Raw genomic sequence first — 15280 nt, 5'->3', positions numbered from 1 at the left:
GTTGCAGTGAGCCAGGATTACGCTACTGTACTCCAGCCTGGGCAACAGAGCAAGACAAAAAAAAACAGTAATAACAACTATTGGAAGGGGTTACTAATGAGAATGAACTCAATATTAGACAAAAATAACATTAAAGAGGATACGACTTTCATCTCTGAAAAAAGTAAGAAGTTTGGTGAATTTCTCCCCTCAAAACAGTTATCAAACTGGATGAAATTGTTCAAAATAATTGTATCAAGTACATGGGAATCGACTTAAGGCAAGAAACACAACGAGAAACATTTATTTACTAAAAGAAAATAAATAAAAAAAAAAACTGCTAAACTTCAGGTAAGACCTGTGGGTAGCTAGGGCATTTGTGCCTGAGGCTTCCACAGTCACCATAGCAACTTGGACAGCATGGTGATTCTGCAAGGCCATGGCTGGTTATGAACAACAGAGGCAAAGTAGCCAGAGGGGGGCTGACTTAATTTGGACTGGCAGGTAGAGCCCTGACACTCAGGGGCATTGTCAGTACAAGTAGCAAATTCATTAGATAATGATTGGGGAAAGCCAACAGCTCCCTTAGCCTGATTGCATTCCACATTAGGTGATACAGTAAAATAGAGGAATGGCCAGAAATTTAACAAGATCTTGAAATTGCCAGAAATTTTCAGGGTCCTTATGATCTTTCACAAGCCTTGGGCTTTCTGTGCAGGTACGTACACACATAGTAAAGATCTGAGAGAACCAAACGAAACTAAATACTGAGGTAAGCTGAAAAATTACCTGAAATTCAAATGCACTTTCACATCCACATTTTGATACATCAGCAGAGGGTGGAACCTTATTTCTTAAGATGTTTCAGCACATTACAAATTATAATGCATCAGTAGCTGACCACAAAGAAGTGAACACCTCTAGAAAACTAAGTAAAATGATAACTAGAATATTTTTTTACAAAGCAATAATACAGTGACTATACAACACAGCAGAGAGAGTCCATAGACCAGTCGAGGCAAATTACTTTCCAGGTTAATAAGTAAACAAAATAACAAAAACAGTAATGCTCAAGGAAAAAAAAATAAGGATCCAAAGTTGCTAAAATATTTTCTAAAATGCACATTTCAACAAGATTTTATGAGCTATCCAAAGAAACTGCAAAATGTGACCCCTGCCCCAGAAAAAAAGATAAATATGCAGAAACTGCCACTGAGTGGGCTGAGATGTTAGATTAGCAGTCAAGACTTTAAAAGAGCTACAACACCATGAAAAGAAATTAAGAAATGCTACATGTTACAATATAAATGAACTTTTAAAAACTGTGTTAAGTGAAAGAAGCCAAACATTTATGCAAAATGTACAGAATTGGCAAATCTATAGACAGAAAGCAAATCCCTGCTTGTTAGAAGCCGGAGGGTGAATAATTGGGAGTGATATAGTTTGGATGTTTGTCCTCTCCAGATCTCATGTTGAAATTTAATCCCCAGTGTTGGAGGTTGGAGCTGGTGGGAAGTATTTGAGTTACAGAGGTGGATCCCTCATAAATGGCTTGGTGCCCTCCCTCATGGTAATGAGTGAGTTCTCACTCCATTCATGCAAGAGCTGGTTGTTGAACATAGCACCTCTTCTCCTTTCTCCTTTGCTCCCCCTCCTGCCATGTGGCATACCTGTTTCCCCTCCACCTTCTGCCATCATTGGAAGTTTCTTGAGGCCCTCACCAGAAGCAGATGCCAGTGCCATGCTTCTTGCAAAGCCTGCAGAACCATGAGCCAAGTAAACCTCTTTTCTTTATAAATTACACGGCCTTAGTTATTATTTTATATCAATGCAAAACAGAATTACACAGGGAAGGACTGCTTAATGGGTATGGAGTTTCCTTTTGGTGTAAGAAAAATGTTCTGAAACTAGACTCAGGTGGTAGTTGTACTACATTGTGAATGTCCTAAATGCCACTGAATTATACACTTTAAAATTGTTAATTGTGTTATGTGAATTACACATAAATCAAAGAAAAAGAAAGAAAAAATATACTTTGAGCAATCTCCAATGTATATTGTTATGTGAATAAAGAGAGGTTGAGGAAAACAAAGAGCTACAACAATAATTTTTAAATAATTAAAAGAAGCCAAGTTTAAAGGAATAAAGAAATATATAGTGACAATGATTTAACTAATAGAGATCACCAATAAAGCAATAGAAACTATTAAAAAGAAGCAAATGGAAATTCTGGAGTTGAAATGCATAAAAACTAAAATAAACAATTCACTAAATGGAATTAATAGCAGATTTAAAGTGGCATAAGAAATAATCAATGACCTTGAATATAGATCAATAGAAATTATCCAGTATAAAAAAAGAAAAAAAGGATTGAAATAAATACATAGAATCTCAGAGACCTGTGGGAGAACATCAAGTGTACCAACATATATCAAATAGGAATCCCAAAAGAGGAGGACAAAGGGACAAAAATCTTGAAAACTAATGGTAGAAAACTTCACAGTTTTGATGAGTAATATTTAATAAAATTCATACTGTCAAGCTCTGCATTTGTGAAGTGTTTTAGTCCATTTACTTTTAATGTTATTTTCAATATATTTAAGTCTAACATTTAATTCTTCTTTTATTCTCTCTGTAGTCTTTTTGTTCCTCTGTTTTTTTTTCATTCACTCATTCAAGAGGTTATTTAAACATTTTTGGTATTCCATTTTTAATTTATGTACTGTGACTTTGACTATTTTATAACTGTAACGGTTTCTTTAGTGATAATAAAGTACATACTTACAGTCTACAGTTGATACTTTACAACTTTAATTTTAATATATAAACATTGCCATCATATAGGTATCTTTACTATCCTCCCATATGCTATAATTGTCATATAAATCATATTGATATACATTGCAACCATTACATGCACTTTAAAGAACTCAAGATAAGAATAGTCCATTATATGCATGCAGTATTTGCCATTTCTGTTGTGTGTCCTTCCTTAATGATGTTCCAAGTTTCCTTCCAAAATAATTTCCTTTTTGTCTGGAAACTTCTCTTTAGTATTACTGTAGACCGCTTCTGCTGGCTACAACTTCTCTTAAGTTACCTTTATCTGAGAATATTTGTTTCACCCATATTCCTGATTTACAGTGGCTATGGCATTCTGGGTTAACAGTTCTGCCAGCATTTTGAAAATGGAGTACCACTTTGTTCTGGTGTCCATGGCTTTTAATGTGACTTTTTCTCATTAGAATCTGTGTTCCTTTATAGGTAATGTGTCATTTTCCACTGGGGGCTTCCAAGTTTTTTTCTTTGTTTTGAGTGGTTTGATTATTATGTGTCTGAATGTAGATCATTTTGAATTTATCCTGTTGCAATTTACTCAGCTTATTTGATTATAGTTTTATGTCTTTGCCAAATTTGAAAAGTTTTCATTCTTCATTTTTATCAAACACTTTCGAATCCTACACTCTTTCTGGAACTCCAGCAACATGGATGTTGGACATTGTGTTACTGACCCAAAGGTTCTTCTAGCTCTGTTTGTGCATTTATTGGTTATTTGGTTTGTTTTTTCTAGCCTTTTAAAAAAACTCTTCTCATGTTTGATAATTTTTATTAATCTGTTTTCAAATTCACTCACTCTTTTGTCTGTCATCTTAATTCTCCCATTTAGTCCTTACAGTGAGGTTTTTTCCCCCAGTTATTGTATTTTCTGTCCATTTGGTTTATTTTTATATCTTCTACTTTTTTAATGAGACTTTCTATTTTAGCATGTGTTTAAAAAACATTCATGATTGTTATTCAAGCAGTTTGGGGAAAGTTGTTTTAATGTCTTTATCAGATAATTTTCAGCATCTGCGTCATCTTGGTGTTGGCATGTGTTGATTGTTCTTTCTATGTCAGTTAATATTTCCGTGGATTTTTGTAGACTAAGGAATTTTTATTTTAGTCTGGGCATTTTAGATATTACATCAAGACCCCGTGTCGATTTAAATTCTATAGAGAATAGTGACAATTTTTTATCTTGGCAATAGATTAGCTTGGGTAAGTTCATTCCCTAAGTTTCAACCTACTTCTACAGGCTGTGATTCCAATATAAACGTATTTTTCAAAGTATGTTTAGTTCTCTTTGTATCTATCCCAAATGTTTTTCATTCATTGGTCAGTATGTGTCATAGGTCTTATAGTCCCTGTATTACATGCTAAAACCCATAAGTATGCCACATCAAAATATGAAGAGCAATAAACATGGGGTTTACCTGCAAGAATATCTAAGCCTTGTAACAAGATGGCATGCAAACAATGACAGTGTAATTATGAATATGTACAAAGTCACACAGAAAACAAAACAAAAAGAATAAATCTATATGTCATCAGTAAAATTCATTTTCTTTATATATATTTGTAATTTTTCTAGTTTATATTTAAAATATGTACTTCCTTCTGAAGTACTGGTTGCTCACACTTTTATTTAACCTGTAAGAAATAATTTTAAAACCTTTGACTTAGTTCAGTACAAGTTAATCATCCTTAACTTTAGCTGAGAAACATGAGAGAGAAAATTAAATGCATACACACAGAAATATTTCTAATAGCAATTTGATCACTAGGTGAACAACATTTATTAAAAATATTTTTAGGAAAATCAAAAATTGTTAAAACACTTGTAATTAAATTATGTAGCCTGCACACCTTGCCTCTGGGCTTTATGAGTCACCACTAGCAAAATATTGCCTAGCAGAAGTACATATTATTTGGGGTGGTATGAATTGTTTTGTTATTATATGCATAAGATTTTTTTTTTTTTTGAGACAGAGTCTCACTCTGTCGCCCAGGCTGGAGTGCAGTGGCACAATCTCGGCTCACTGCAAGCTCCGCCTGCCCGGTTCACGCCATTCTACTGCCTCAGCCTCCCAAGTAGCTGGGACTACAGGCGCCTGCCACCACGCCTGGCTAATTTTTGTATTTTTTAGTAGAGACGGGGTTTCACCATGCTAGCCAGGATGGTCTCCATCTCCTGACCTTGTGATCCACCCGCCTCGGCCTCCCAAAGTGCTGGGATTACAGGTGTGAGCCACCGCACCCAGCCATATGCATACAATTTTTAATGTACTTAAATTTAGACCACTTTCTAGAAATAGTTTGCATTTTCTTTACTTGTTGTAAATGTCTAAGTCCTTTTGAGTCTATCTGGATCTGTATTTGTGCTTTAATTATCTCTGGCTTTCCTTCAGTACTAAACTACTTTGTGCCCCTAAAAGCAAGAATAATTTTCTAAACAGAGAGAAAGAGAGAGGGATGTGGGGAAGGAAAAAACATGCAGCTGCAAATCAATTATGGACAGGGTACTGGAGTTGATAATATTTGTTCATGTTGGTAAATTTGGAATTCATAGGAAAATTAAAAGAAATGCATATAGCAAAGAAGGCTATAGCATAGAAATTTGCTATTTACTTATAATAACAGAATACATCATTATATCTAAGGAAAGAATTGTTTATTTCATTTAATGTTATTTGTTTAATGAGCTTTTATATAGTATGTAGTTTCCTTAACACATAACTGCAAATACATATAGACATTTACTCTCTCACTCAAATGGTGCCGCTAAGCTTGAACTATTGATCTATGGTGTTTTAACAACAGCTTTTGAGTTTACTGATAAAATTATAGTAAGCATTTAGATTTAGTGTCTACATTGTGAGAATAATAAAACATGAAGATACCTGTGAAATTCTTTTTATAAATGTCTTTCTCTTAATAAGACTAGATAGAGAAAACATTTCTGTACAGTGTCTAAATGCCTAACCACTTAGTTCCCCAAAGTCTGTTTTTAGGAATTTGACATACTTTGAACAACATTATCTTTTAGTTCAGCATTTACTTGAATGCCTTGATTTTTACTTTATATACGAGTTGAATTCCATGATTTGACTAATTTTTATACAGCATTATTTTATGATAGCAAGATTCCTTCTTCTTGTCCATTATCATCAAAGTATTACTCTGTTGCTGGAAGAAATATGGTGATTAATTTGCCTTTGATATATTTGGTTCCTCTTTATGTACAGTGTTTAAGAGTTTAGTCACAAAGAGCTCTGACATCCTAAGAAAAAGCTATGCTAGAAACAAAAATTAATCCTAGTGACTAAGAGCCCTTAACAAAAAATAAATTACGTACGTTGTAGCATAAAAGCAAATACCTGGCCGGGCACGGTGGCTCACGCCTGTAATCCCAACAGTTTGGGAGGCCGAGGTGGGCGGATCACGAAGTCAGGAGATCCAAACCATCCTGGCTAACACGGTGAAACCCCGTCTCTACTAAAAATACAAAAAACTAGCCGGGCGTGTGACGGGCGCCTGTGGTCCCAGCTACTCATGAGGCTGAGGCAGGAAAATGGCGTGAACCCGGGAGGCGGAGCTTGCAGTGAGCCGAGATCGCACCACTGCACTCCAGCCTGGGCGACAGAGCGAGACTCCGTCTCAAAAAAAAAAAAGAAAAAAGAAAAAAAGCAAATACCTAACACAGAGAATACTCTGATTTCTGGAACTGATAGAATACTATTTCAGCACACCAAAGCACTTGAAAAAACTCTTGGAAAACAATATATTGTCTCAAAGTTCTACCACAAGATGTCAAAAATAAGCTAAACGAAGTCAGATGTAAAAGCATTACAGGACAATTAATATAATATGCAACAGCAATAAAAATCCTGCATGTATTCATCTAATTTCTCTCTAGTTTAATTCAAAAAAACTTTTTTTCGCTTCTTCCATCCTCTTCATTCTCAGTTTGCTTCCTACTTCACCGTGAAAGTTGAAGCCATGACCATCTTAACCTGCCAGCCGGTAGTATCAGTGTTCGTATTCTCTGCCTTCCCACCTATTGTACTAGATAAATGATGGTAGCCATTTCTTCCCCTGGGGTATTATGTTTCATTCCTGTTACCTACTCATAGCAGTATTTATTCAATAATATGGCTCTCCATTTGTCTCGTGTATATGTTCTGTGTATTTCGGATATAGAGATTAGATTCCCTCACCCACATCAGAGCAAAGTGAGCGTCTAGTCATATTTGAACATCTTACTCCTGAGAACCAAACTGCCCTGTGACAACCTTAATAAGAACCAAACTTGGCAAACGTAATTGCAGAGTTTCACGTTAAGAAAACTCACAATAAAATAGGGGGAGCAAATGAAAAGTCTGTACTGTCAGACTTAAGTGTATTGTAAGAAGAAGAAAAATAAGGTGGGATAAACAAATCTGAACTGAGTTCCTGCTTTTCAGGACTAGTAGATATCTATGGGAAAATCCACAAATATTCAGAATTGAGGCTTGGCTAATCAGGAGTAGCGAGGGGTGGGGAGGGGGCAGAAAGGGCTCCAGAAATCCTTCAGAAGCATCCCACCTGCAGTAGGCAGAACTCCAAAACGGCTGCTAAAGTTGTCCTGCCCCAACCCCCAGAAACTGAATGTGATGAGATACTGTGCTGTCATTGGTCAGCCCTTCGGGTCTGTAAAGAATTGGTTCCAGGACCCCCTGCAGATACCAAAATCCACAGATGTTCAAGTCTCAACTGTGGATCAAAACAATTAGATGGAAAAATTGGGGATCCAAAGTTAGTTGAATTACCAAATGTGGAACCATGAATCCGAAGGGCCAACTGCAGTAAGAAATGTGTTTCATCTCTGTCCCCAGCTCCTGGCACAGACCTCCTAAAACCCTTGAAATTTCTTGAGTGATAGGACTATCTTTTATTATTCTTCATGAGCCTCACTTGATCACACCTGTGTTTATGCTCCTGCGCGGACTTAGGGTGCGAGTACCTAGATAGCTTCAGATGGGACCAGTCACCAGAAAGACCAACTAGGTATTAAAACTTTCAGCCCCATCTACTGACTTTTGGGAAAAGGAGGGGATGCTGCAGATTAAGCCTATGAAACTCTTGAACAATGAGGTTTGAAGAGCTCTCCCGTTGGTGAATACGCCTAGGTGCTGGGAGGGCAGTGTGCCCAAAGAGGGCATGAAAATTCTGTGTGCTTTCCACCATACCTCACCCTATTCATCTCTTCCATTTGATTGTTCTTGTATCCTTTATAATTAACCCAGAAACTGACCTCCTGAGTTCTGTGAGACATTCTAGCAAATTATTCAACCTTAGGAGGAGGTAGTGGAAATCCCTGATTTATAGCTGGTCACTTAAAAGTTTGGGAGGCCCAGGACTTGCGACTGGTGTCTGAAGTTGGTAGCAGTCTTGTGGGACTGAGTCCTTAAGCTGTGGGGCCTATGATAACTCCTGGTAGGTAGTGTTGGCATCAGACTGAATTATTGAACACCCCGTGCTTGGAAAATCAGAGAATTGGTTGTTGGTTTTGGAAAACGCTCCACAAGCATGGATATGTTAGATTATACAGCACTAGGGACTTGACAGATGCTGTGACACTGGCCTCTAGGAGCAGAGTGCAGGCCCTGGTGGAGAGCCAGCAAGAAAGCAGGACTTACTCCTACAACCACAAAGAACTAAGTCCCACCAACAATCTGAATGAACTTGGAAACAAATTCTCTCTCCAAGCCAGAAAGGAAGGTAGCTAGCCTCTCATCCACATCTGATTCTGATGAGGTAGATGATGAGATGGTGATGAGATTATTAGAATTTTGAGCTGATAAGGTACAGATGAGATTTGCAACGCTGAAATAATGCTGTCATAAAATAAGACTTTTGAGAACGTTGGAAAGAGGTAAATGTATTTTGGTTTCAGGAGGGACATGATTCTTTGGGGATGAGAAGGCACATTGTGACAGCTAAAATTCTGATGAAGATGACACTTCCATGATTCCAATTTTGCAAATATTAATTTAGTTACTGCTTTAAAGAGATTTTGCTGGTGTAAAGTCCCAAATCACTTGACTTGAGATATGGAAACTTTCAGGTGGGCCTGATCCAGTCAGACTAAAGCCCTTAAAAGCCAATAGCTTTCACCTTGGAAGGAGACAGAAGGCATCAGAGATTTGGAGTGTGGGAAGAACTTGGCAAACTGGTGCTGATTTGAAGATGAAGGGAGCACATGAGAAGGCAGCCTTTAGAAGCTGAGAGAGAGGCCTTTGGTCAACAGACGGTGAGGAAGGGGAACCTCAGTCTCCCATGGCAAGGTCTAAATAAATTCTGCCAGCATCCAAAATCCCAAGAGCAATATGCTAACCCCAGACCCCTTCCCCACCCACAAAGGACCCTTAAGCAGTGGCCCACTCACTTACCCAGTCATGATCCTGAAGGCAGCAGTAAAAAGGGTGAAACGCCAAAGACTCATAACCTAAAGAGAATGATGAACATAAAGGTAACTGCATAGGCCAGGCATGGTGGCTCATGCCTGTAATCCCAGCACTTTGGGAGGCCAAGGCAGGTAGATCACTTTAGGTCAGGAGTTCAAGACAAGCCTGGCCAAAATGGCAAAACCACGTTTCTCCAAAAAAAAATACAAAAATTAGCTACACGTGGTGGTGCGTGCCTGTAATCCCAGCTACTTGGGAGGCTGAGGTGGAATAATAGCTTGAACCTGGGAGATGGAGGTTGCAGTGAGCTGAGATTGCGCCACTGCACTCCAGCATGAGCAACACAATGAGACTCCAACTCAAAAACAAAAGCAAAAAACAAACAACGAAAAAGTAACTGCATAAAGCCAACTCTGATAAAGAGTTAAGCTTTAAGTAGACTCTTTAGTCTAAAAAGAAACTTATTAACCCAGGAAACAGAGAACTTCATCAAGTATAAGTTTGCTTTTCATCCCGTGGAGAGGAGTTTCAACGATTGGAGATTATAAAATCTACACTTTGTTTGGCACAGCTGAGAACAAAGAGTGAATTTTTTACCTTGATATGTTAATATAGTAAGTATCAATTCATATATATAATTTACAAAAATTAAAACAAAATTAAAATGTTATAATGTACTGATTGGTAATTATCTTAAAAAGTTCTTACCTATGTAAGTGATTTATGTAAATCAGTAAATAAAAATGTTTGAAATATTTTATCATGCATATTGGTTAACATGTGACTAGGGGCAAAAACCAATAAATTGCACTTTAATGAAAAGTTCAAAACCTTGAAAACTGTTCTTGCCTTTATTTCTCTACCTCCGAATTGAGAAAAAAATGACATGCCTGTAGAGGTATGTAATGTGATAATGGAATCGGTTGTGTTTTATGAAGAGATTGTAAAACCCATGAAAAGTTGCCCACAGCCAAAAGGAAATTAGGCCAAGAATAAAAAGCATATAGCTAGTGGAAAATAAGAATTTTAATAAAATTGAAAATGCAACCCATCTCCCTTTTATACTTCTCCAGGCTACCAATGTTCTCTCTGAGCTGTGTTTCATTGTTATAACATTGATAAATGTGAAGAAAGCAGATAAGAGTTTTGAGAGCTGGCAAAATAGTTTTGCATGTTGGGCCATCTGAAAACTAATATGGCAAAGTTCATTTCTAATATTTAATTTGGTTGCTATATTAATTGCATAATAAATTATATAATTTAAAATGAGGAATATTTTACATGTGAGTATTAAGATGAAAGAATTATTAATTTTTATATATAGTAAATGACTTAGAGATTTCTAATCCAGACTTTCAATTCATAGCCAAGGAAATAGAAGATTAGAAAGAGTAAAAATAATTGACATGTTTAAATAAAGTTGAAAATCTGAAATTTGAGTCTATTCCTCCTGATGCTAACTTTGTGTGCTCTTCTTGGCCAGGTAAGATAACTAGTAAAAGAGTGCACGTCTTAAAAGAAAAAGAAAATATGATAGTAACACTTACCTCTTTAAATTATTAATATTACCAAGATTACCAACAAAATCAGGTAGGGTAGTAAAAAAATGCCAACACTTCCCGGACAGGCTTTCTCTATTCCTATCTCTAACAAAGGAGGGCATGAAGGAGTATAGTTAGGAGTCTTGTTAGTCAAGGGACGTTACAGCTGTATCTGAGTCAATCCAAATTAATGACAAACAGCTTAACCTTTCTCTAGGCTTGATTAACACTGAAATTTCCTTCTGCAGTGCTCAGTCATCCTTGGTGTTCTCATGATGGAAAAGTGGTACTGACGGCTGAGACCTTCCAAGATAGGCACAAAACTGGGCAGAAGTGGGTGAGATCCTCTGAGCAAATGGTTCTCCCAGAACAGAAGCTCCATTTTCACTACACCTACCTGCATTCAGACACACTCACATACGACACACCCCTTATGAGGAAATACTTAATTTTTAACTTAACTTTAGCTAGGTTTACAACAAAAGAGTCCTAATTTGTTGGTTAATTTCTGTGCCTAAAACTGTTTATTCATGCCCAATATTTGAAAACAGAATGGAGGAAGAGAATGAGGTCAAGAACAATCACTCCCTTGTAAACTCCTGACTTAATTTAGTGGACCTTAATTGTACTTTGGCAACATTAACAAATACTGACTCCTATGATAGGATGAATAATTGGAAACACAAATTGAATGCATAACATGGTTTCTTCCTTCATTTACACAGTAATATACACTGATACTAGGGGCAGAACTGGCAGAAGCATGTTCTACCGTGTTAAGCATTAAGTTAAATTGCAAAGACTGCAAGCCAAAAGGAATAATACACTCTGCTAGCAAAACAATGAAGACAGTGAGGGCTAATTTCAAGGTTTTGCACGAAGAATAAAGGGATATTAAAATATAAGTAAAAACCACATTGTATTATAAACATTTTGGCCTTACAAATTGTGGAGTAACTAAAGCCAATGACTCACTTAAGTACACAAATCCACTGAAGAGTAAAATGCATTAGTGGCTGGGACATATTTAGTTTAGGTTGCTATATTTGAATCTACTCTGTTCCATACAGTGCTAGGGATTTCTATCTGTATAACATAGCCTAAATTAACACGTGGGCTTTGAAATGGTTAAGGCAGTATTCCATGGACAGTGGCACTGTGAATGTATAATTAAAAGTTTTATCACCCAAGAAATAAGATCAAGAACCCATTATAAAAAGTGAAACTTTCCTCAAAGTGGCTGAAGCCTAGACAGATAGATGACTGATAGATAGATAGAATAGACAGAGTTATAAAATTGTGTGTGTAAATTCAGGGTCTGATACTGGGACTTAAAGTCTACAAGAAAAGTTTTGGAAAGGGAAAATGGATATAAGTAGATGGCTGAAGCCTAGACTGATAGATGATAGATAGATGATAGATAGATAGATTAGATAGATAGATAGATAAATAGATAGATAGAGGTATAAAATTGTGTGTGTAAATTCAGAGTCTGATACTGGGGCTTAAAGTCTATAAGAAAAGTTTTGGAAAGAGAAAATGGATATAAGTAAAGGACAGCAAGGACAACCTGAAACCACAACATAAGCCGGAACCCATAAGGATGGACTAAAACCTGTGTCTCAGTCTTGACGCCTGTGATCTGGAGGGTAGGGGACATCTGAAAGCTAACATGGCAGAGTTAGATCATTTATAATATTTACTTTAGTGGCCACATTAACTGCATAATAAATTATGTAATTATAAATGAGTAATATTTTACATGAGAGTATTAAGATAAAATCATTATTAATTTTTAGATATAGAAACTAACTTTGAAATCTCTAATCCAGCCTTTCAATTCAAAGCCAGGAAAATAGAAGCTTCTTTGCAGAAGAAGCCGGTGTCCATCAGGACGGAACTGAATGCACCTCTGGATCAGGTGGCGAAAATGCTGCAAAAAGATCCAGGGTAAGTGGCGCATTTGCAGGACAGGCAAATGCCCCATTATGTGAGGTAGCAGGTAAAATGCAACAGGTGTATGTTACAAAAAGGCTGATACTTTAATTCCTTCCTGCAAATCTCACTTAGGAATGTATCTTTTTTTTTTTTTTTATTATACTCTAAGTTTTAGGGTACATGTGCACATTGTGCAGGTTAGTTACATATGTATACATGTGCCATGCTGGTGCGCTGCACCCACTAATGTGTCATCTAGCATTAGGTATATCTCCCAATGCTATCCCTCCCCCCTCCCCGTATCTTAACACTTACTCTAACTGGAAACACACAGGAAAAGAAACAGGAAATAATTTCAATGACAGCAGCAACAAATGTGCAAGGGCTATATGAAAGAAATACAAAATTGTATTGAAGGACATTAAAGGAACATGAATAAATGATGAAATATAATAAGTTAGTGAATGGGAATACTCAAAAGCATGATAAAAATTTTACCTGTTAATGAATTAAAGGAAAATCTCAATAGTACTTTTCATGTATTTAGAAAAATGAATTCAAAAGATCCTGTGTAATAACAAGAATCTAAATGTAGCCAAGACAATTCTGGAAATGAAGAACAAAGGAAAAGCTACACTTCTAGATACAAAATTTGTCCTCAAGTATTTGTGATTAAAACTAGGCCTGAAATGATAATAATGTTTCTAAAGCTGCAAAATCTTGGTGTTATTATGTACTCATATCACTGGTAAGATATTAAAACACAGAGATAAGCAAATACATAGGTGGCAGCCTCTCAAAATGAAGGTAAACACAAAATTATTTCTTTTAGTCTATTTTATATGTTAAAATAACCTCAAGTATCCTATAATTAAGACATATCTTATAGTAAAAGTTACCATATATTCTCAAAATAACTTGGTGGCAAATTAGTCAGATTACTACTCATCAATTTCACTTAAACTTTCAGTACTGAATTGAACTTTAAAAATCCTCTTCACTTTAAATATAACAAGACAATTCTAGTAATGCAAACACTAAAATCACTCCAACTTATACTGAATAATATTTAAGATTCCACTCCGATATAATCAGAGGTTGTTTAGCTTTTTCTGTTGGGATGTCATTGAATGCATCCTTTTCATGGGAAGCAGGCTGGCAAAAATACCATCATTAAAATATTCACTATTTTTGAAAACCCTGTTACTCAAATGTTCTTATGCATTTGGGGATGGTAGTCATAATGATGAGATTCATTCCATGTTGTTACATTTAACCAATGTTAATTCTTTATTACAGCGATGTAGTATACCATTGTAAAAATATGCCATACATTGTTTAATCTTTCACCTATTTATGGACATTTGAGTCACTCTCAGTTTGGCAAGTGCAAATATCATGTAAGATAAGTAACATTTTATGTCTCGTGTCAATTTAAGTCGTATAGTGTTCATTCTTCAGCCATTAGTTCAGAAATGTATTATTAACCTTTCTAATATTCTCATCAAGGAAGTGGCAAGAATAGTTTTTACAGCTTTATGGACATAAAATTAACTGCATATATATTGCATGCTTTTTTTTTTTTTTTTTTGAGACGGAGTCTCGCTCTGTCCCCCAGGCTGGAGTGCAGTGGCGCAATCTCGGCTCACTGCAAGCTCCGCCTCCCGGGTTCATGCCATTCTCCTGCCTCAGCCTCCTCAGTAGCTGGGATTACAGGTGCCCGCCACCATGCCCGGCTAATTTTTTTGTATTTTTTAGTAGAGACGGGGTTTCACCATGTTAGCCAGGATGGTCTCGATCTCTTGACCTCGTGATCTACCCGCCTCGGCCTCCCAAAGTGCTGGGATCACAGGCGTGAGCCACCGCGCCCAGCCTATTGCATGCTTTTTAAAATCAGTTTTTACACACACACACACACGCACACACACACACACAACAAAACCATCACAACAAAGTAACAAAAATATTTATTACCCCCAAAAGTTTACGTGTATACCTTTGAAATCACTCATCCTCCCTCTTTACTCCTCACCACCATCCCCAGGGAATCTCGAATCTGTTTTTTGTCTCTATAGATTACTTTAAATTATGTAGAATTTTATATACATGAAATCATAGAGTATATCTTCTTTTTTATCTGGCTTATTTCAGAAAAATTATTTTGAGATTCATTGATGTTGTTGCATATAAACAAAGTAAATTATGTATTGTGGCTGACTCGTATACCATTACAAGAATATAACAATTTATTTAATCATTCATCTATTGATGAGCATTTGGGTTGCTTTCAGATTAAGGCTAGTACAAATAAAATTTTTATGAACATTTGTGTACATATCTTTATGTGGAAACATGCTTTTATTACTCCCGGCTTAAGTACCTACGAGTGGCATGGCCAAGTCATGTTATTAGTATGTGTGTAAATGTTTTCTAAGATGGTTGTGCCTTTCTACATTCTCAGTAACAGGATATAAAAGGACAAGTGGTTCCACGTCCTTGCCCAAATTTTTCTGGTCAGATTTCTAATTTTAGCCATTCTAGTGAGTATGTAATTAT

The sequence above is a fragment of the Homo sapiens genome, chromosome 7, assembly GCF_000001405.40.
Source record: "Homo sapiens chromosome 7, GRCh38.p14 Primary Assembly".
NCBI classification, from domain to species: domain Eukaryota; kingdom Metazoa; phylum Chordata; class Mammalia; order Primates; family Hominidae; genus Homo; species Homo sapiens.
Note: the sequence above shows the minus strand (reverse complement) of the source record.